This window comes from Homo sapiens, chromosome 1 (assembly GCF_000001405.40).
Source record: "Homo sapiens chromosome 1, GRCh38.p14 Primary Assembly".
NCBI lineage: Eukaryota > Metazoa > Chordata > Mammalia > Primates > Hominidae > Homo > Homo sapiens.
The window spans coordinates 11,710,861-11,733,654 of record NC_000001.11 but is presented as its reverse complement, the minus strand read 5'-3'; the positions used below and the strand labels follow the sequence as shown (position 1 = coordinate 11,733,654).

Here is a 22,794-nt window from a genome sequence, read left to right as displayed (position 1 = left end):
CTGGGCAACAGAGTGAGATTCCATGTCAAAAAAAAAACAAAAAAACCGCAAAACAACTCCTAGGATTAGAGCTGACATTTACTAAACTGACATTTACAGGACCCTGTAGGGGCGGAAGGGTGTGATACCTTTCCTCACCCATCATAAAGGTCACAGCTGACACTCCTGTAAAAAAAGACTGCTTAACAAGAGAAAAGCATACCAAGTTTAGTTAAGCAAAGCTTCATGTGACATGGGAGGCTTCAGAGATGAAGACTCAAAGGCCCTGGGAAATCTGTCCATTTTTGTGCTTAGTTTCAAGGAAGAATGAACAGCCCTGTAGCAATGCAATTGGATAAAAAGAAAATGAACAAGTCTTGTCCAGATTCTTCTTGGGCTCTCCATGCAGCATTCCTTCCTCCTGGGTATGAGGTAGAACCCCTCTGTAATGAGGTCTTTAAAGAGAGAAGGGAGAGAGCCACCTTTCTAGGTTTTATGGCTACTTTGGAGACACGGGTTCTAGTTTCTGTGACCCACCTTGGAGAAGGAGGATTTTTTTTTTTTTTTTTCTTGAGACAAGGTCTTGCTCTGTTACCCAGGCTGGAGTGCAATGGTGTGATCATGGCTCACTGCAGCCTCAACCTCCTGGGCTCAGGTGATCCTCCCACTTCAGCCTCCTGAATAGCTGGGATTAGAAGCACCTACCACCATGACTGGCTAATTTTTGTATTTTTTTTTATAGAGACAGGGCTTGCCATGTTGCCCAGGCCGGTCTCAAACTCCTGGGCTCAAGCGATCCACCTGCCTCGGCCTCCCAAAGTGCTGGGATTACAGACTTGAGTCACCTCATCCCCTGCCAAAGGAGGAATTCTTGTTCTGTGACTGCCTCACGGGAGAAGGAGGGGCTGGAGACAGGAGGTCAGGAGGGCGTCACAGAGACCTTGCTTTTGAGGCCTCCAGTCTTCTGTAGTTCATAGTACTTAGCATGCCAAAGCACCAGATATTGGGGTGACATTTTCTGAGCCCCAACAGTAGTTGTCGTGTGGCAGACAGTGTGAAAGGGCTTCATAGTGGGCCAGGCACGGTGGCTCACATCTATAATCCCAGCACTTTGGGAGGCCAAGGCGGGTGGAACACCCGAGGTCAGGAGTTCGAGAACGGCCTGGCCAACATGGTGAAACCCTGTCTCTATTAAAAATACAAAAATTAGCCGGGCATGATGGCACATGCCTATAATCCCAGCTACTCGGGAGGCTGAGGCATGAGAATCGCTTGAACCCAGGAGGTAGAGATTGCAGTGAGCCGAGATCCTGCCATTGCACTCTAGCCTGAGAGACTGAGAGACGGAGCGAGACCCTGTCTCAAAAAAAAAAAAAAAAAAAAAGAAAGTTCTTCATAGTAAATGCTCACAACAGAACTATGGCACGCGCTGTTCTTATTCCTGTTTACACTTAGGCAACTGAAATCAACAGAAGTGAAGCCGCTTGCTGCAGGCACAGCACTAATTGCTGCTGGAACTGCGGTGGGACCCAGGAAGCCTGGCTCCAGGACCCTGACGTGTAACCACACAGCAGAAAAATCCGGCCAGGGCTGAAATGAGAAGGATAGAGTGAAGCAAGTAGGAGAAGACAAGGATCGGAAGGCAGCACAAGGCTGGGCCTGTGGAACGTCCCTGTGGCTCAGACACTGACACTGTATTCATCTCCACCAGCTGGGGCCAGAGGCGGAGGGAGGAGAGCACGAGAACACCCAGCTGGCTGGGCGGGCTTGGCAGGCTGGTGGGGTTGGGGGGATGCGGGGAGGTGGGAAGCACGGAGAAACAAAAGAAAGTGAAACTGTCGGTATCCTCAAAGGAACCGGAGTTCCTGCCACGACCTATTCTTGGCTATGGAAGGACATAATAGACCCCCACGTGGCATTCCACAAGGCTTGGGGTCATGTATTGAGTGAGTACAGACACTCCCCAACTTACAATGGTCTGACATGATTTGTCTACTTTCCAACAGTGCGAAAGCGATCTGCGTTCAGTAGAAACCATATTTCCAGTCCCCAGTATAACCGTTCTGTTTTTCACTTGCAGTATAGTGTTCAATAAATTCCATAGGGTTTTCAGCACTTTATTATGAAATAGGCTTGTTTTTCATGATTTTGCACAACTGTAGGCTAATGTAAGTGTTCTGAGCATGTTTAAAGTAGGCTAGACTAAGCTATGATGTTCAGTAGGTTAGGTGTATTAAATGCATTTTATTTTCTTTTTTTGAGACAGGGCCCTCTAGGTGCTCTGTCACCCAGACTGGAGTACAGTGGTGCAACCTTGGCTCACTGCAGCCTCCAACTCCTGGGCTCAAGTGATCCTCCCATCTCAGCCTCCCAAGTAGCTGGTATTACAGGCTCACACCACCATGCCCAGCTAATTTTGCTTTTTTTTTTTTTCTTGAGATGAACTCTCACACTGTCGCCCGGGCTAGTGTGCAGTGGGGCGATCTTGGCTCGCTGCAGCCTGCACCTGCCGGGTTCAAGCAATTCTCCTGCCTCAACCTCCCAAGTAGCTGGGACTACAGCCATGTGCCACCACACCCGGCTAATTTTTGTATTTTTAGTAGAGACGGGGTTTTACTGTGTTGGCCAGGCTGGTCTCAAACTCCTGACCTCATGATCCACCTGCCTTGGCCTCCCAAGGTGCTGGGATTACAAGCGTGAGCCACCGTGCCCGGCCAGAGGGGACATTTGTTTCTGTGACTACTTAAAACTAATGAGGGCTGACTCTGAACGATTTGTCCCGATGGCACAGAATTCAATCTTACAGCGGCATCCCTTGCTGACACTTATGGACTCCAGCCAGCCTCCATAAATACTCCTTGAGCTTTAAAACACAGGAAATCATGCCTGATGTTCCGGCTGCTCTGCCACCTCATCAGGGTCCTATGAAAATTACTGCCGGTTAAGAATGATCCCCGCCAGGCCTTCCCAGACATGTGGCAATAGTGCCCTGTCCCTCCAGAGACCCTTGTGCTCAGAGAACCCATCAGAATGCCCTATGGAACCTTTGGTGATTGTAGAAAAGGCAGAAAAGGAAATTGCCTGTGCCCTGTTGGAGTCCAGGAAGCTGTGGCTGTGTTAGAAACCACCCAGAACACAAGCGGAAGTAAGAGGCTATTGCCCAAGAGGAAGGAGAGGCACTTCAGCTACTCTCAAATTCTGACCTATGGTATTTCCTTCAACCCCTGCTGCATACAGCAGCAATCCTCTTATTTTATTGTGTGCGTGTGCACGCACATGTGCAGGTGTGTGTGTGTGTGCATGTGTGTAGGTGTGCATGGGCATGTGCATGGGTGTGCATGTGCGGTGGTGTGTGTGTGTGCATGTGTGTAGGTGTGCATGGGCATGTGCATGGGTGTGCATGTGTGTGGGTGTGGGTGTCTGCATGTGCGGGTGCGTGTGTGTGCGTGTGCATGTATGTGTGGGTGCGTGTGTGTGTGTGCATGTGCATGCTCACGTGCTTTCCTCAACTCTGAGCATCTTGTTCAGAGATCAACTCCAGCCCCTGGCCCAGGCCCTGCACGGAGCGAGTTTCAATGTGTGCTGCTTGCCTCCCGCCTCCCATGGCCTGTCCTGGTTGTGTCATAACTTCAGGCTGCTTCCTCCTCCTCTCTTCGTTCTCCCATTTTTCCACGTGGATGCTGCTGGAATTCCAAGGGAGGCGTTGGAGGGCTCTGGCTGAATCTGAGTGATGGCTCAGATACACACATGAGGCCTGTTGTGGTCACTGAGCCCGACGGCCCGAGACGCCTATCTGCCATGGGGTTTATCTTTGGTGTTTGCTTTCACTGCTTTCAGGCCTCACTGGCGGTGGCTTTCACGTCTGACTCTGCTGCAGGCTCTTCGAGGTCTCATCTTCCTTGCAGGGGGCCAGTGGCCACAGGGAGAGAGAAGAGAAGAACGAGGAAGTGGGTGGGGGAGGGGAGGGTGCTTCCACTGGCTCTCTGGAAGGAATCCAGCCCTCTTCCTCTCTGGGAAGCCGGCCTGAAGGTGAATCCAACTTCGGTCCTGGCAGCCCCCTGCCTGACAGCGGCCTCGATGGGTCCTAAATGAGTGGCACAGTGCCTGTGAGGTGGGAGTAGGGGTGAGATCAGTGATCAGCTCCTAGTAGGTGCTCAGTAAACTTCAGGTATTTGAGAGGCAACACGGGGTCATGGACATGATCAGGTTTTGGAGTCAGGCAGACCTGGGGGAGGCCTCTCCAGCACCACTTTGGGCAAGTGGCCTTAATTCCTTTGTGCTTCCATTTTCATGCTTGGCAAAAGAAGGTCTAACAGTTCCCAGTTACGCAAGAGGAGGGGCGCCTCACGCCGTCAATGGAGGCCAGGGCTGTGTCTGGAGGAAGGTGTTCCCTCTGTACACAGGTATTCTGCTCTGTGCCAGGCGCTGACACAGGTCAAGGTCGGGATGCACAGTGCCAGTTCAAGACCACAGCATATAGCGCCGTCCAATTGTGCCCTTGCCGCAGTGCCTAATCGCCAGCAGGGACAGAGCCCAGGCTCCTGACTGTGGTTCCCCAGTGCAAACGTGTGAGTTTCAGGATATGCCATCGTGTGTTGGGGGAGGTGTGATGAAGGGACAGGGGCAGCTCTGTTTTGTCATTTGCTGACCCAGTCAGGCATCCATTCATATCGCTCCTCACCCGATCCCTCCCCACCCCATCCCACCCCAAATTGCAATTTCATGTCCTAACACTGGGTAGACACTGGTCTGGGCCCACCACAGCATGTGTGTCCATGTTCATGACCAGGGTTGGCCACCGCTACACTGAGGCTCAAGCTGCCAAACAGAGTGAGGAAGCCCAGAGCTTCATGACCCGCCACGGTCAACTCTGTCGCACGTCCAGTCACCGGGATCTGAGCTGGGGAGCTGAGCTCCAGAAAGCTCCATGATGGTCAATTTCGTGTGTCAGCTTGGGCAAGTTCTAGTATCCAAGGTTTCAGTCAAAAAAGAATGTAGGTGTGTGTGAGGGCATCTGCAGTCAGTTGGCTTGAAGGAAAGGAGGGTACCCCTGAGAATGTGGTGGGCCTCATCCTATCAGTTGAAGGCCTTAAGAACAAAAACTGAGGTCTTGGGAGAAGAAATTCAGCCTCAAGACTGCAGCATTAACTCCTGCCTGAGTTTCTGGCTTGCCTGCCTGTCCTACTAATTACAGACTTGCCAGCCCCTACAATCATGGGAGCCAATTCCATAAAATAAATCTCTTTATATACAGTCATGCATTGCTTAACAGCAGGAATACATTCTGAGAAATGTGTCATTAGACAATTTCATTGATGGGCAAACATCATAGCATTACACACTGCAAACATCATAGTGTGTACTCACACAAACCTAGATGGTGAAGCCTCCCACACACCTAGGCTCTCTGAGATAGCCTGTTGCTCCTGGGCCACAGACTTGCACAGTATGTTACTGTACTGAATACTGCAGACAACTGTGACACAATGATGAGTATTTGTGTATCTAAACATATCTAGACATAGAAAAGGTACAGTAAAAGTATGGTATTAGAATCTTATGGCATGGTGGCTCATTACAGGCATGGTGGCTCATGCCTGTAATCCCAGCACTTTGGGAGACTGAGGCAGAGGATCACTGAGGCCAGGAGTTTGAGACCAGCCTGGGCAACATAGCGAGACCCCGTCTCTACAAAAAATACAATAATTAACCAGGCTAATTACTGTATTTATAATACAATAATTATTATTGCATTAATAATACAAAACTTCGGAGGCCGAGGCAGGAGGATCATTTGAGCCCAGGAGTTTGAGGCTGCAATGAACCATGATTGTGCCACTAGACATAGTGTCATGACTGTGCGCAACCTAGACGTAAAGCCAGATTCTGTCTCAAAAACAAAACAAAACAATCTTATGAGACCACTGTTGTATGTGTGGTCTGTCATTGACTGAAATGTTTATATGGTACATGACTGTGTGTATACACACACACACACACACACACATGAGATATATAAATACATAGATATTTTAAGATATATAAATAATATCCAATTGTTTCTGTTTCTCTGGAGAACCCTGACTGATCCACCCCAGTGCAGCCATCTGCCCTCCACCAAGGGCTGCACCCAGGCTGCTGGCACTGAGAGCTGACATCCTGTGGCCTTGGGCTTGACTGCCCTAACCCCTTATCTCAGCACTGTTCTGACCTTTATTAGTAGAAATGGGATCCAGTGGACATCCCAGGACAGAGGGGTTTGGCTTTTAGATGGCCAGCATGCCTTTCTGTAACCTTTGACCCAGGGGTCAGTAGTACAGACTGGGGTCAGCAAGCTACAGCTCCTGGACCAAATCTGGCCCGCTACCCTTTTGTGTAAATAAAGTTTTATTGGAACGCTGCTGTGCTCACTCATTTGCATGCATCTGTTTCTGTGTGATCCATGGCTGCTTTCATACGACGATGGCAGAGTTGAGTAGTGGGCAGAGAGGGTATGACTTGCAAAGTCTCTTGGAGGGGTACAGGCCTTCTGGGCTCAGCTCCTCAGAACCATCCCCCGTGGGAGCTCCTCCAGCCACCTGGGGCTGTGTGGGGAGGACTGTGAGTTCTCAGAAGATTTGGTGCAGCAGCTCTCAGACTTGAGTTTCAGTTGTGCAGATTCCCAAGCCCATGCCTGGAATTCTGAGTCAGAGGCCCAGGTGGGGCTCAGAAACCTGGGCTTGCCGTCCACAGGATTCTGATGCTGGGGGTCCGAGGACCCATGTTTTAGGAAACCCTGGATTTGGGAAGCCTGATTTTCCCTGTCCTGGCTAGGCAGAGACGTCTCTGCAGATACGGACACCAGGCTCTCAGGGCGCCCCATCTCTGTGGTCACCACGGCCCCCAGGGGTGTCTGGGCCCCACCTTGGCTTTAGGATCAAGGTCACTGGGAGACATAACAGCCTGCCCGAGGAAGCCCTGGTCAGCAGAGCTGGGCGGCACTGGCTGGAACTGCCACCACGATAAGAGATGTCCTTCCTGGTGCCAAGCCAGGCCACCCCCTCACCAGTTCATGCCCTTTCCCAAGATGGCAACTGACCCTGCCCCAGCCCTGGCTTCTGTTGAGCTGCCTTGTCCTTTCTTATCTTGCAGGAGTCCCGCTTCTGCTCTTCTCTGCACTCGGCCACCTTGGCTCGGAAGGAAGCTGCTGGGGACCGGCCTGCTGCAACCCACCTCAGAATCTCTTTCGGACCTCAGCTGCCCCAACCCTAAAATGGGTAGGGAGATAAAAATCTGGGACTCCGGCCAGGTGCGGTGGCTCATGCCTGTAATCCCAGCACTTTGGGAGGCCGAGGTGGGTGGATCACTTGAGGTCAGGAGTTTGAGACCAGCCTGGCCAACATGGTGAAATCCCGTCTGTACTAAAAATACAAAAAGTAGCCTGGCGTGGTGGCACACGTTTGTAATCCCAGCTACTCGGGAGGCTGAGGCAGGAGAATTGCTTGAACCTGGGGGGCAGAAGTTGCAGTGAGCCGAGACCGTGCCACTTTACTCCAGCATGGGTGACAGAGCAAGACTCTGTCTAAAAAAAAAAAAACAACAAAAAAATCTGAGACTCGCAGTCAAGAGGTCTGGCTGAGGGATTATGATGAGGACCAGGCGAGGGCAGGGGTCCTGTCTGCCTTGTTTGCTGCTTAGCTCAGGGCAAATGCTCAGTCCAGTGTGTTGAGAAGTCATAGGTGGAATACCAGGCTAAGGATCCCCTCCAAATGCCCCTGTAGAGCTCACTACCAGCACAGACAGACCGTCTCCTGGAGGAACAAAGAGAGACACCAGGTGGGCTTTTTAACCATCGTCTCTTTATTTACAGCTCAAGAGCACATGCAACATGACATCATGAAACTACAAGGGCGTGGCACTTCCCCCTCCCCCTGCCGCTCCCCAACTTTAAAAAGGAAGTACAGCACCCTAGGAAGTTGCCTAAGAGTCAGAAAACCCTACACTGAGGGTCCCAGGCCGAGGTGCTCCATTCATTGCCTCCAAAAATAAAGACCAGTTGCAGCCCAGGAGGCTTGGGCCTCAGAGCCTGGGAGTTTGTCATTGCTGGTAATTAGCTACGCAAAACAGGTCTCGGATTTGCCAGCTCACACCTGAATACAAATAGCCCGAATTATCCGAATGTCCCTGACCACCCCACATTTCTGTTTTCCCCGTCGTATCCTAGACCTGTGATTCTCAAATTTGATCGTGCCCAAGAATGACCTGGAGAACTTGTGAAAAGCCAAATGGCTGGGCCCCACCCCCAGAGATTCTGGCTCAGTAGGCGTGGGGTGGTGGGGCCCAAGAATCTACATTTCTTTTTGTTTTTTTTGTCTTTTTTTGAGACAAGGTCTCGCTGTATTGCCTAAGCTGGAGTGCAGTGGTGCGATCATGGCTCACTGCAGCCTCAACCTCTTGGGCTCAAGCGATCCTCCCACCTCAGCCTGGAGAATAGCTGGGACTACAGGTGTGCACCACCATGCCCGGCTAATTTTGTTATTTTTTGCAGAGATGAGGTCTCCCTATGTTGCCTAGGCTAAGATTCTGCATTTCTACCAAGCTCCCAGGTGCTGTTACTGGCCCGGGACCGTAATCTTGAGTGTCTAAGGTCTAGAAAGCCTCTTGCACCCAGAAGTGACCCAGCCATGGATCCTGTATCAGACTGCTTGTTCTGACTTAGAATTCAGAAAATACACTCCCTGCAATATAAACCCCTGGTTCTGCAAACTGCCCTTCCCAGGAAAGGCAACCGTCCCTGCTAACCTCCTCCCCAGGAAACACACACAGTCACCATTGCCTGTCAGAGTGAAGACTATCACAGAGGTGACAGGGCTCAGTCCAACCCCGTGAAACCCCCAGTGAGGAGCCACAGTGGTTTGCTTCTCTGGCCTCTCCACTGTCTCTCCTAGCACCATTTTCCTGGCTGTTCTGTTGTTTTATAAACCGGTTCCTTGCAGGTTTCAGGTATGCTGTCTCTCCAGCTGCAGAGTGAGCCCCACGGCAGGGGCCGTGTGCCCACCACCTCAATGTTAGGTTTTGTTGGGTGGGTTGAATATGGCTTGAAATAAGGACCCACCTCCAGCAGCTCAGTGGTAGAAGGGGTTGTGGCTTTAGGATTTACTTTGTGGCTTGGTCACTCCTCAAGGGGCTGTGAAGCTGTCATTTTCCCACAAGCCTTGGCCCTCATGTCATTGCATGCTCAGCCTATTCCCAGCAGGCATGGAAACCACTCTTGGTGTCTCCAGACAAACTACGGAAAGGCAGCCCTGTGGGAACAGCAGGTATTCCTGGGATCCGCGGTGAGACTCCAGCTGGAGGAGTGCAGGAGGGTTCAGGCCACGGGCCCAGCAGCTACTGGTTGCCACCTGGCCTCCTGCTCAGCTCCCCCACTCCACCCAGGGTATCATTTTAGACTCCAGCACCCATTTTATTGCAAAGCCACTTACTCCTCCAGCCCTGCCTCGGTGCCTGGAATCTGCACATGCTGCCAAGGGCTGAGGCCAGAACAGTTTTCCAAACCTCTCTGACCATGGAACCGTACCCTGACCCTTTCTAATAGAGCATCTCATGGTCCCAGTGTTCTATGGAACACACTTTGGGGAAGGAGCTTGAATGGTGACTTAGAAATGATCTCAGAGTATGTGATGGGTCATTGTCAAAGAACCGACATCTAAAATTCTCCTAGAATAACAAATTAGCTAACACTGGAGGTTTATTAGGTGCTAGGCACTGTTCTAAACACCTTATAAGAATTCTGCGTTCACAGGCCAGGCATGCTGGCTCATGCCTGTAATCCCAGCACTTTGGGAGGCTGAGACGGGGGGATCACCTGAGGTCAGGAGTTTGAGACCAGCCTGGCCAACATGGTGAAACCCCATCTCTACTAAAAATACAAACAGTAACCGGGCGTGGTGATGCTTGCCTATAATCCCAGGTACGCGAGAGGCTGAGGCGGGAGAATCACTTGTACCCAGGAGGCAGAGGTCGCAGTGAGCCGAGATCGTGCCACTGCACTCCAGCCTGGGCAACAAGAGTGAAACTCTGTCTCAAAAGAAAAAAAAAAAAAAAGAAGTATGCATTCACTACTCACAACAACCCTATGAAGGGAGAGTTATTATTCCCATTTTACAGATGAAAAAATCAAGGCACAGAGACCTTAAGAAACTTTCCTAAGGTTGCCAAAGCTGTGAGAGGTGGAATAGGTGGATTTAACACCAGCCACACTGCTACAGATGGAAGGGGAGAGCAGAGACTCTCCGCCCCAGCTGCACCTGAAGTTACCTGGGAGAAAAACTATGAAGCCCAGACCAAACAAAACAGAAGCTTTGTGGGTGGGCCCCAGGCCTGTGAATGTTCCTGGATTATTGCAACGTGCAGCCAGCGTTGAGAGTGAGCAGGCTTGAGCAGGGGTTGGCAAACCGTGACCCTCAGGCCAAATCTGCCCCACTGCCTGGTTTTGCGCAGTTGGCAAGCAAAGAGCAGTTTTTGCACTTTTAAATGGTTTTAGAAAATTAAACTAATAATATTTTATGGCCAGGTGCGGTGGCTCACACCTGTAATCCCAGCATTTTGGGAGGCTGAGGCGGGCGGATCACCTGAGGTCAGAAGTTTGAGACCAGCCTGGCCAACATGGTAAAACCTTATCTCTACTAAAAATACAAAAATTAACCAGGTGTGGTGGCACATGCCTGTAGTCACAGCTACTTGGGAGGCTGAGGCAGGAGAATTGCTTGAACCTGGGATGAAGAGGTTGCAGTGAGCTGAGACTGAGCCACTGCATTCCAGCCTGGGCAGCAGAGCAAAACTCCATCTCCAAAAAAAAAAAAAAGGAAAGAGAGAATAATATTTTGTGACATGTGAAAAGTATACAGAATTCACATGTGTGTCCAGAAATAGTTTTCCTGGAGCATAGCCATGAATTCATTTACACACTCTCTGTGGCTGCTTCGAGCTACGGCAGAGCTGAGTAGCTGGTGGAGATCAGATGGCTTGCAAATCCTAAAATGTTTATTTGGCTCCTCACAGTAAAAGTTTGCTAAACCCTGGATTAGAGGAAACTGGCTTCTGTATGAGCAAAATAAATTTAAGATAGACCTAAGGAAGAACTTCCTGGCAGAGAGGTTGGTTAGACACTTGAGAGGGCTTTGGGATTCCCAGCTCTGGAGTTAAGAGGTTCCATCCACCCATCCCTCTTTGGAAATGTCAAATAGAGATAGCTAGGGCAAAGAGACGGGCCTTGAATTTCCAACCATGGAACTACCCTGGCAACCAGTGGCAGTTCTATGGGCATTTTAGCTTTGTCCTGACCCTCTGTGTTCTCCATGGCTGATGTCCTAGGACCATCTAACAGCTGTCCCCCAGCCATAGTAATGCTGGGCTTTCTTCCGGCGGTACTCCTTAGGGTTCTAGCCCCACAGAGCCAGCACAGTCCCGAGTCACCACTTAATGTGAGGCACACACAGCATGTGTGGGTTGTCTGGTCTCAAGTACGAAGCTGCTGGCAGATCTGCCTTTTTACATTTTTAAGTGTTTTATATTTTTGGAGTCTCACTCTGTCGCCCAGGCTGGAGTGCAATGGCGTGATCTTGGCTCACCGCAACCTCCGCCTCCTGGGTTCAAGTGATTCTCCCGCCTGAGCCTCCTGAGTAGCTGGGATTACAGGCACCTGCCACCATGCCTGGCTAATTTTTGTATTTTTAGTAGAGATGGGGTTTCACCATGTTGGTCAGGCTGTTCTCGAACGCCTTACTTCAAGTGATCTGCCTACCTCGGCCTCCCAGAGTGCTGGGATGTCAGACATGAGCCCTCGTGCCCAGCCTTAATTTTTGTATATTTGGTAGAGACCGGGTTTTGCCATGTTGGCCAGGCTGGTCTCAAACTCCTGACCTGAGGTGGTCCGCCCACCTCAGCCTCCCAAAGTGCTGGGATTACAGGCATGAGCCATTGTGTCTAGCCATATCTGCCTTTCAGCTAGCCTGCTTTGATCTCCCAGTTCCCCTGCCCTCCCTGCTCCCTCCCCACAAGGTTCCCATGCCCATCAAACTTGGATAGGGAGAGAACAAGCATATTTAATTTCTTCTAGATCTGCCTGCTTTCCTTGGTGCCTGACCCCTGACCCCGACTGATTTTTCCAACGCAGTAAACATCTCTGGCATCTTATGGGCGTGATCCAGGCCAGTGAGGAATTTGGCCAGGAAAGTCTTTTGTCATTTGCAACCTGGTTCGCCCTGGAACAGAGGGTTGGCCAGGAGTGAGATGCCAAGTGGGGGGATTTAAATGGTTCTCCTGAAGTGACCCCTGAAGCCAGATCTGCTGGGACAGATGTCCTGGGTGGGCATTGTGAGTCTGGCCTGTTAGGGGCAGTTAGCTTCAGATAGCACCTCAATTTCAGGTGAGCCTCAACTTCCCAGTGGGCTCTGCTGCAAAAATGTGGGGTGGGGTTCCAGGGATGGTTTTGTGGTCCTGGAAATCACTAAACAGTATGCAAAGTGGGTAAACATGGGCAATATGTGTGGGGTTTTTTTGGATTCCATGCTTGCATCAGAACCCCTGGGGGGGAAGTGCTCCAGAAAACTGTAAAGTGCCTGTCCAGGACTGGATGATCAGGACCACAGGGACATAAAGGCCAACATGATTCTTTTCCCCAAACACTTCTTATCCCAGGATATCAGCTACTAGACCACAGGGATCAACCTGCCCAACTTATTCCTGCAAGCAAGTATGTGCTTAAGTTGTATTTTGTTTTGTTTTTAAACATGATACACCTTTATCCAGGGAAGGCAGAGAACAGTCAAGTTATTCCAGCCACAGAGGAAGGGAATACCAGGGTGTGAGCCTCTCTTGCCAAAAGCCTTAGAGAATCTGGAAGAAATTCTTGGCTGTGGAGCAGCAAGAACGTGGGCCTTGGAGCTGGACAGCCTTGGCCCAGGTTCATGTCCTTGCTCTGCCATGTACTTCCCAGGACCTCTCAGTGGGTCCCTGGGCCAGCAGCCTCGCGTTCCCTGGGAGCTTGTTAGAGCACAGAGCCCACTGAGTCAGATGTGCTTTTTTTTTTTTTTTTTTTTGAGATGGAGTTTCACTCTTGTCCCCCAGGCTGGAGTGCAGTGGCACGATCTCTGCTCACTGCAACCTCTGCCTCCCAAGTTCAAGCGATTCTGGTGCCTCAGCCTCCGAGTAGCTGGGATTACAGGTGTGCACCACCGCGCCTGGCCTAATTTTTGTATTTTTAATAGAGACGGGGTTTCCCCATGTTGGCCAGGCTGGTCTCGAACTCCTGACCTCAGGTGAGCCACCCGCCTTGGCCTCCCAAAGTGCTGGGATTACAAGCGTGAGCCGCCGCGCCCGGCCAGATGTACATTTTTAACTGGACCTCCAGGTGACTCTTAGCATGTTCAGGTTTGAGGAGCACTGACCTGGGACCCTGGGCAAGTCGAGTCAAATAACTCCAGCGTGCCTCACGGTCCTCAACCTGTCGCATGGTGATAATGCCTACTTGAAAAGGTCGTTGTGATAATTCAATGAGATAATGTATTCCAGCACTTAGCACAGTGCCTGGTACATAGGAGATGTTCCATATTCATCTCCTGATGGTGGACCTTCTTTCGGGAAGTTTAAATTTCTTTTCCACTCTCAAAAACGCCTCTTGGTTTTGAACTTGAAGCTGTTGCAGTGCTGGAGTCGGACAGTAGAGGGCACTCTCGGCATTGCCATCGCGGAGAGCAAGACACGCGGGATGGAGGCTGCGTGGGTCCGGACTTCGTGTGTGCAGGTGCTGCGGGCCGGCTCCTGGGCACCCACCCAGCTCATTCGCCGAGCGGCTCCCCTCCTGGGGTTGAGTGTCCTGGGCCTGAGTCTGCAGCCTCAGCCATCTGTTCCCCAACTTGATCTCCCACTGCTAGTTACAAACAAATCGCCCGGCTTGTGCAAACCTCCTGGGCTCAGTCCCCAGTCCCGCGGGGCCGCTAGACGTTGATGAAGGATCCCTGGTCGCCGTTGGCCGTCTCGGGCTCCACACAGCGCCCTTTCCTCCGTGTAACCCTGCGGTTCCGGTGGAATTTGGCATAGCAGCGCAGCCCTGGGCGAGTGGAGGCAAGGGGGGTCAGAGGCGCGAAGGGCCCGTGCCCTCCCCTTCCTTCCCCTGCACGCTCGGGGCCAGCCAGCTCCCTCCTGCCTTCATTATTCTGCCCTACAACCCAGCTTCCTCACGGCAGCCCCAATGAGCTTAAAAGACACGAACCCGGAAGAGGGGAGGAATGAACACGGAAGGAGAACAGAGAAGACTCAGGGCGGTCGGGGCGGTGAACATATTCTGTGTGACACGTAATGGTGGGACATGGCATGCATTTGTCAAAACCCACAGAATGCACCGCACAGTGAACTATAACTTACGTTGACTTCAGTTAGTAATAATAATACATCACTATTGGTTTGTCAAGCAACAAATGTACCAAGAGAGGCCGGGCACGGTGGCTCACGCCTATAATCCCAGCGCTTTGTAAGGCCGAGGCAGGTGGATCACTTGAGGTCAGGAGTTTGAGACCAGCCTGGCCAACATGGTGAAACCCCGTCTCTACTTAAAAAAATACAAAAACTACCCGGGCATGGTGGTGGGTGCCTGTAATCCCCGTTACTTGGGAGGCTGAGGCAGGAGAATCACATGAACCCGGGAGGTGGAGCTTGCAGTGAGCCAAGATCATGCCACTGCACTCCAGCTGGGGCGACAGAGCTAGACTCCCTCTCAGAAAACAAACAAACAAACAAACAAACAAACAAATCTACCACATGATTGCAAGATGTTATTAATAGGAGAAACTGCATGCAGGGGCAAAGCAGGTATATGAGAACCACATTCTGTGAAATTTTTCTAGAAAACTGCTCTAAAAATAAAGTCCACAGGGTACGGTGGCTCACACCCGTAATCCCAGCACTTTGAGAGGCTGAGGTGGGAGGATCGCTTGAGCCCAGTAGTTCCAGACCAGCCTAAGCAACATAGGGAGACCCTATCTCTACAAAAAATGTAAAAATTAGCCAGGCATTGTGGCATACACCTGTAGTCCCAACTATAGGAAGGAGGGGCTAACATGAGAGGATCCTTTGAGCCCAGGAGTTCCAGGCTGCAGTGCGCCTTGGTTGCACCACTGTAGTTCAGCCTGGGTAACAGAGTGAGACTCTGTCTCAAAAAAATTAAAAAATAAAATACACAGATAAATTCAATTAAAAAGTCTATAATCTTGAAAATTGGAAAGGAAAAAGGTTATTAAATTTTTTTTTAAGTGGCTCAAATTCTGCCCTTCCCTGTAAAACATCCTATGGAGAGCCATTGCTTTTTTTTTTTTTTTTTTTGAGATGGAGTTTTGCTCTTGTCACCCAGGCTGGAGTGCAGCGGCACCATCTTGGCTTATGAAACCTCTGCCTCCTGGGTTCAAGTGATTCTCCTGCCTCAGCCTCTCGAGTAGCTGGGATTACAGGCATGCGCCACCACACCCAGCTAATTTTGTATTTTTTTTTTTTTTTTTTAGCAGAGATGGGGTTTCACCATGTTGGCCAGGCTGGTCTTGAACTCCTGGCCTCAAGTGATCTGCCCACCTCCGCCTCCCAAAGTGATGGGATTACAGGCATGAGCCACCGTGCCGGGCCTCCCTTTTTTTTTTTTTTTTTGAGACAGGGTCTTGCTCTGTTGCCTGGACTGGAGTGCAGTGGCATGGCAAGATCTCGGCTCACTGCAATCTCTGCCTCCTGGGCTCAAGTGATCCTCCCCACTTCAGCCTCCCAAGTAGCTGGTACTATGGGTGTGCGCCACCACACCCGGCTAATTTTTTTTTTTTTTTTTGTATTTTTGGTAGAGACAGTGTCTCTCTACCTTGCCAAGGCTGGTCTCCAACTCCGGGCTCAAGGATCCACCTGCCTTGGCCTCCCAAAATGCTGGGATTACAGGCATGAACCACCCCGCCTGGCCTCCAATGCCCACTTCTGTCTACCCTTTCTTTTTTTTTTTTTGAGACGGAGTCTCTCTCTGTTGCCCAGGCTGGAGTGCAGAGGCACGATCTCAGCTCACTGCAACCTCCGCCTCCTGGTTTCAAGAGATTCTCCTGCCTCAGCCTCCTGAGTAGCTGGGATTACAGGTGCGCGTCACCACACCCGGCTAATTTTTGTATTTTTAGTAGAGATGGGATTTCACCATGTTGGTCAGGCTGGTCTCAAACTCCTGACCTCATGATCTGCCCGCCTTGGCCTCCCAAAGTGCTGAGATTACAGGCATGAACCACTCCCCTGGCCTCCAATGCCCACTTCTGTCTACCCTTTCTAAAACAACTGTAGGACTCATTATCATATTATTATCTTTATAGCCCTTATTACTTACTTTTTTTTTCTTTTTGAGACAGAGTCTCACTCAGTCACCCAGGCTGGAGTGCAATGGCAGGATCTCGGCTCACTGCAATCTCTGCCTCCCGGGTTCAAGCGATTCTCATGCCTCAGGCTCCCGAGTAGCTGGAATTACAGGCAAGTGCCACCATGCCCATCTAATTTTTGTATTTTTAGTAGAGACAGGGTTTCACCATGTTGGCCAGGCTGGTCTCACTCCTGACCTCAAGTGATCCTCCTGCCTCGGCCTCCCAAAGTGCTAGGATTACAGGCATGAGCCACCATGCTCGGCCATAGCCCTTATTATTTTCTAAAGACATACTATCTATGTATTTGATTGTTGTCTGCTCATATCACTAGAATGTAATTCATGGGCACAGAACTTGCTGGTTCTTTTCACTACTGAACCCCCCAGTGTCCAGAGCAATGTCTGATACGCAGTAGGTGCTCCCTAAATATTTAACTGATTAGATGAGTGAATAATCAGAACTACATAGCTTTATTGCCGAGGCGGGAGGATCCCTTGAGCCCGGGAGTTAAAGCTACAGAGAGCTGGGATTGCGCCACTGCACTCCAGCCTGGGTGACAGAGTGAAACCCTGTCTCAAAAAATAATTAAATTAAATTTAAAAGTCCACAATTTTAAAAATTGGGAAGAAAAAGATGTATTATCATCATTTTTAAGACAGGGTCTCGCTCCATCATCCAGGCCGGAGTGCAGTGGCACGATCATGGTAGATAACTCTCTGAGGCTAATATGAGCAAAACGGGGCATGTATCTCAGGTCCACAGAGGGGCTGAGCCCCAATTCCCCCATCCAGGAGATGTGTGAATGCTGATTTGATATTGGATGGAACTGATTAATTATCGTTCATGTTTGGCATTTTGTTTTTAAAAGAGTACTTGTCTTTCAGAGGTACACACTAAAATATTCACAGGTGAAATACCTGTAAGCTCCCAGGAGTTGCTTAGAAATCATGTCGGAATAAGGAAAGTGTGTGAGAGATGATAGACACAGATTGGCCGTGAGTTGGTATTGAAGCAGAGTGATGAGAAATGGGCGCTCATTAGACTATTCTAACTACTTTAGTATATATTTGAAACTTTGCAGAATACAAAATTGAAACTGGCTGGGTGTGGTGGCTCATGCCTGTAATCCCAGAACTTTGGGAGGCCAAGACAGGTGGATCGCTTGAGGTCAGGAGTTTGAAACCAGCCTAGGGAACATGGCAAAACTCTGCCTCTACCAGAAATACAAAAATTAGCTGGGCTGGTGGCATGCGCCTGTAGTCAGAGCTACCTGCAGGGCTGGGATGGGAGGATCACCTAAGCCTGGGAAGCAGAGGTTGCAGTGAGCCAAAACTGCACTGCTGCACTCCAGCCTGGGTGACAGAGTAAAACCTGTCAAAACAAAACAAAAACCTGAAACTATTCCCCCCACTTTCCTGGCTGTGTAAGTTTGGGCATCATTAAGCTTTCTGTGCCCCAGTTGGCTTATTTGTACAGTGCGGATCATCATAGCTCCTTTCTAGGGGTGGTCATGGGGATTTCAGTAGAAAAGTGCTCAGCACAGAGCCCAGCACACTTAGGCGAGGTGGGGGCACGGAGGAGTTGAAGAGGCAGCTGGGCAAGTGCATCCTTCCCTGGGACATGCTGGGAAACCCACCCCCACCCCATTATCACACTTCAATGCCTCCTCTGGGATAGAATTCTGGTGTGAAAGCGGCAGCCTTCTGAGGCTGGATCTAATTTAAAGAGATGTGCTCCTGTCTCCTCCCTTCTCCCTCTTCCAGATAGTGGGAGATTGTGCCAGCTTGTATTTCAAAAGTTGAGAAAAGCAAATCTCAGAAATGATGCCAAGAATCAGGACTAAATGAGTTCACAGATTGGGAAGGCACTGATAAAGCTGTTCTTGCTCACGTCTTCGGCTCCCGAGGGATTCTCCCACCTACACCCCCGCCGCAGGCCCATGATCCACCCTCTGCCAGGAAAGCTTGTTCCCCACTCGGTGCAGAAGCCGCTTCGAGAAAGGGAGGCTTTGTGGTTCTCAGAGCATGGGTAGCCCCCCGCAAAGGAGTCTGGACCCACCTTCCACACACATGCAGTCATCGAAGCATTTGTTGTTGAGGCCTCGGTTGTGGGGTGTGCAGAGATGCTCCCGCAGGTCGCAGCAAGTCCCTGCCAACACAGAGAGCACACGCAGTCAGCCAAGCTGAGCCGCCCCTCCCCGCAGCCCTGCACTCGGTCCCACTGGACAAGAGATCCATCATCTCTGTGGCAGGCCGCGCCCTGGCGGGGTGGGCCATCTGGTGTGCAAGGCTCCTGAGTGGAACCACAGGGAGATGTCATGGCCGAGGCCCCCAAGGGTCGGTGGCAGAGACCCCAGCTGCCTCAGATGGGGTACTGATTGACCATGGGAAGAGCGAAGGTGGTGTGAGGTCTCCTCCCAGACAGAGCCAGTAGAACAGCTGGGGGCTGCCAGGTGTGGAGTCAGCTCAGAGCTGGGAGGGGCCTCAGGATCCCCAAAACCAATGTCCTCTTTTGACAGATGGGGAAACTGAAGTCCTGGGCACCTGCCATGGAGCCGGCTCCCAGAGCGACTGTCCAGTCGGCCCAAATGCGGGCCTTTTCTTTGTGCCCAGGGTGAAAACAATGGTTTGGGAATGAAGCAGCCTGTCAGGGAGCTGGTGGTTTGCCTTATACAATGCTAATTGCTGGTTTGGTTGCTGTTTTGTAGAATATTCTGGTCACTGATCTAACAATCGTGGTGCCGTGGAGGTGTGCCGCTCCGATCTCTCTTGGGGAAAGCACTTGCTGGCGGCCTCCAGCTGGTACAGCTTCAGGGCCACCTTGGCCCATGGCAGGCTGTTCCCAGCAGCCCCTGCCAATGACGGGCATGGGGGTTCTGGGGCCCAGCCATTTCTGCTCAGCACGGGCCTCGTCTAACAGGCCACCTCTGTACTGGAGCGCCCATCCGGTGCATGATGTCTGAAGCTTCCTCCATGCTTCCTCCACCTTTCGTCATTCACAAGTGTTTCCCACCCCTAGCCCACCCCAAAATAAATCTGTTGTGCTTTTTGTTTTGTTTTGTTGAGACAGGGTCTTGCTCTGTCACCCAAGCTGGAGTACAGTGGTGCGATCATATCTCGCTGCAGCCTTGACCCCCGAGGCTCAGGTGATCCTCCTGCCTTAGCCTCCTGAATACCTGGAACCACAGGCGCACACCACCAAGCCTGGTTGGTTAATTTTTTATTTTCTTATTTTTTTTAATTTTGAGACAGAGTCTCGCTCTGTCAGAGTGCAGTCGTGCGATCTCGGGTCACTGCAACCTCCACCTCCCAGGTTCAAGCAATTCTTTGCCTCAGCCTCCTGAGTAGCTAGGATTACAGGCACCTGCCACCATGCCCGGCTAATTTTTGTATTTTTAGTAGAGATGGGGTTTCATGGCCAGGCTGGTCTTGAACTCCTGACCTTGTGATCCACCCATCTCGGCCTCCCAAAGGGCTGGGATTATAGGCGTGAGCCACCGCACCCAGCCAAGCCTGGTTATTTTTTTAAATTATTACTATTTTTGGAGATGGAGTCTTCCCGTGTTGCCCAGGCTGGTCCTGAACTCCTGGGCTCACGGGATCCTCCCGCCTCGGCCTCCCATAGTGCTGGGATTACAGGTGTGAGCCACTGCACCCGGTCTCACACTTCTAACTTACCTCAGTATCTGCTTCCTGGAAGGTCCGACGGACCCCCAAGGGCCCCCAGGGTTTAGGACATTAGTTACAACGTCCGGCTTCTTGTTTTTAGACTGTCTCCATGGAGACGGCTGCCGAACAGTGAGGATGTCACCAAAAGCATCTCCAGAATGCCTGGCAGTGTTGCGATGGGACAAGGACAGCATTAAGCCCTGCCTGGTGTCAGGAGGAAGAGGGCAAGAGAGGATCATCCCGATTTAAGGCAGCATGGGGCTGTGGTGAAGAGGCTTTCCAGCCAGGCCAGGTTGGAGCCACTTCTTAACCGTGTGACCTTGGGCAAGACAGCCTCTCTGGGGCTCAATCACCTGGCTTGAAAACTGCGTTGTTGTGAGTAATGTATTTTTTTTTTTTTGAGACGGAATTTCACTCTTATTGCCCAGGCTGGAGTGCAATGGCACGATCTCAGCTCACCACAACCTCCGCCTCCCGGGTTCAAGCAATGTTCCCGCCTCAGCCTCCCAAGTAGCTGAGATTACAGGCGCACACCACCATGCCCAGCTAATTTTTGTATTTTTAGTAGAGACGGGGTTTCACCATGTTGGTTAGGCTGGTCTCAAACTCCTGACCTCGTGATCCGCCTGCCTCGGCCTCCCAAAGTGCTGGGATTACAGGCATGAGCCACCATGCCCAGGGTATTTTTTTTTTTTGAGATGGAGTTTCCCTCTTGTCGCCCAGGCTGGAGTGCAGTTGCATGATCCCAGCTCACTGCAACCTCTGCCTTGCAGGTTCAAGCGATTGATTCTCCTGCCTCATCCTCCCGAGTAGCTGGGATTACAGGCATGTTCCACCATGCCCGGATAATTTTTATATTTTTAGTAGCGATGGGGTTTCGCCATGTTGGCCAGGATGCTCTCAAACTCCTGACCTCAGGTGTTCCACCCGCCTCAGCCTCCCATAGTGCTGGGATTACAGGTGTGAGCCACCGTGCCTGGCTGTGAATAATGTATGAAATGAATGGATGTCTGACAGCAACTCTCAGGAAAGTGGCAGCTGTTGTTATTATTTATCATCCATGAAGGGTCAAGGATTCTCAGGTCCTGCACATGTGGGAACCCCCACTCCCACCCAGGTTCCCTCCCAGTACCCAGCCTGGTGCCTTGAATGTGGGTGCTGGCTGGTACCTGGCAGGCAGTCTTGGTGATGGTCGCATGGTTCCCCTTCGGCTGGTGATGTTTCGTTACCATCACTGGAGAGTTTACCGCGGTGTTTCTCTGGGGATAAGAAGATCTGTCGTCAGAAGCTGGGGCCCAGCAGAGCAGAGGTTAAGCACAGGGACTCAGATGTTGGAGTGCCCATACCACCACTCTACAGCATGGCTTGGACAAGGCACTGTTGGACCTAACAGGTATTTTCCCTCAGGGTAACATGAGTGGAAACATGGAAGCGTGTGGCACGTGATAAGCATTTGACAGCATTCTCCGTTCCAAGTGGTGTTTCCAGGTTAGGCTCCATGCTCCCCCTCTCCCCACATCCCACCTTTGGACATCTGAAGATCAGACAGGGCTCACTGGGGCCCCCACCTCAACAGATGGTGCGGGAGGGCAGGGCACCCAGGCATGGAAGATAGTGGGGTAGGTGGGCATACCTTTCTTCTTTGCAGAGGGCCAACCATCAGGTTTTAAGTCTTCATAATCGGTCCAGTCGAACAAGGCCATGTCCAGCGTGGGCATCACCTCCCCGTCAGACCTGGGCTGTGCCTGCTGGAGACCGTGGAGAAGGGGGATGTTGGAACCTTCAAATCCATGGAAGCAGGAGTGTGGAGTCCCAAGGTCAGAGGACAAAAAAGAGGCTTCTCAGAGGCCACCTTATCCTCTGCTGGGCAGCCTGGAGTCTCAGCCCAAGGACATAAAGATGGCTGCCGGAGGCTCCTGTTCCAGTGGCCACTAGGTAATTTCCTTCCTGTGCAGCCATTACTCAAGAAGGACCATGCACACACACACAGGTGAGTTACCTACCAGGCCCTCTGAGGAGGGGCAGAGACCACCTGCAGGCTGGGAAGGCAACCTTGCTTGCCCAGGGTCTTTAAGCCCACGAGGAGGGTGTTGGAAGTAGCCCAGCCACTCACTGGACTTTCCCATCCCTTCCTCTCTCTGCAGAGGTTACCAGCAATCCGTGGCACCATTGAGGCCACAACCAGGGCTCAGTCCCACTCACAGCCTGGGCCAGTGGCCCCAGGAATGCAGAGGGCTAGAGGTCCTCAGCAATAGCTGGATCTACACACGGGCATGTGCGAGCACTAGGGCATGGGCAGGAACCGCACCTTCTAGGCTGGCCTGCAGGGGGCCTTGGATGATAAGACGGATAACCATGTATTCCTGGGAAATGGTCTGCAGCTTTTATCACAATCTCAAGGGGGTGCAAGACCCCAAAAAAGGATAAGAAAGATCTGCTGCTAAAAAAGCTTTATTTCTTTTGTATTTTTGTAGAGACGGGGTTTCACCATGTTGGCCAGGCTGGTCTCGAACTCCTGACCTCAGGTGATCTATTCGCATCGGTCTCCCAAAGTGCTGGGATTACAGGCGTGAGCCACCCACTGCACCTGGCCTATTTCTTTTTTATGTATTTTTTATACATATATATTATTGATCCTTTTAAATAATTTTAGTTTGAAAACCTTTTTTTTTTTTTTGAGATGGAGTCTCACTCTGTCGCCCAGGCTGGAGTGCAGTGGCGTGATCTTGGCTCACTGC

The 22,794-nt window shown here is 51.1% G+C and overlaps 1 protein-coding gene across 1 annotated transcript in view, besides 3 other annotated features; it reads right to left on the bottom strand.

Moving 5' to 3' along the window:
• Positions 1,474-1,563: an enhancer, noted in NCBI's record as "active region_172". NCBI's record gives its function as "activates an Ori minimal core promoter by ATAC-STARR-seq in GM12878 lymphoblastoid cells {active_cell/tissue: GM12878}" and the evidence as "EXISTENCE:reporter gene assay evidence [ECO:0000049][PMID:35858748]".
• Positions 6,456-7,443: an enhancer, noted in NCBI's record as "H3K4me1 hESC enhancer chr1:11786269-11787256 (GRCh37/hg19 assembly coordinates)". NCBI's record gives its function as "activates a minimal SCP1, AML or CMV promoter by ChIP-STARR-seq in primed H9 embryonic stem cells {active_cell/tissue: H9 hESC(primed)}" and the evidence as "EXISTENCE:reporter gene assay evidence [ECO:0000049][PMID:30033119]".
• DRAXIN (dorsal inhibitory axon guidance protein) overlaps positions 7,798-22,794 on the bottom strand; it is a 39,223-nt gene continuing 24,226 nt past the window's right edge. The window contains exons 4-7 of the mRNA NM_198545.4: positions 21,690-21,804; positions 21,226-21,315; positions 18,447-18,536; positions 7,798-14,071 (exon numbers count right to left, since the gene is read on the bottom strand). Coding sequence (NP_940947.3) covers positions 13,959-14,071; positions 18,447-18,536; positions 21,226-21,315; positions 21,690-21,804 — 408 coding nt within the window. The 3' untranslated portion in view covers positions 7,798-13,958. The remainder of the gene's footprint in view (positions 14,072-18,446; positions 18,537-21,225; positions 21,316-21,689; positions 21,805-22,794) is intronic.
• Positions 13,842-13,911: an enhancer, noted in NCBI's record as "active region_171". NCBI's record gives its function as "activates an Ori minimal core promoter by ATAC-STARR-seq in GM12878 lymphoblastoid cells {active_cell/tissue: GM12878}" and the evidence as "EXISTENCE:reporter gene assay evidence [ECO:0000049][PMID:35858748]".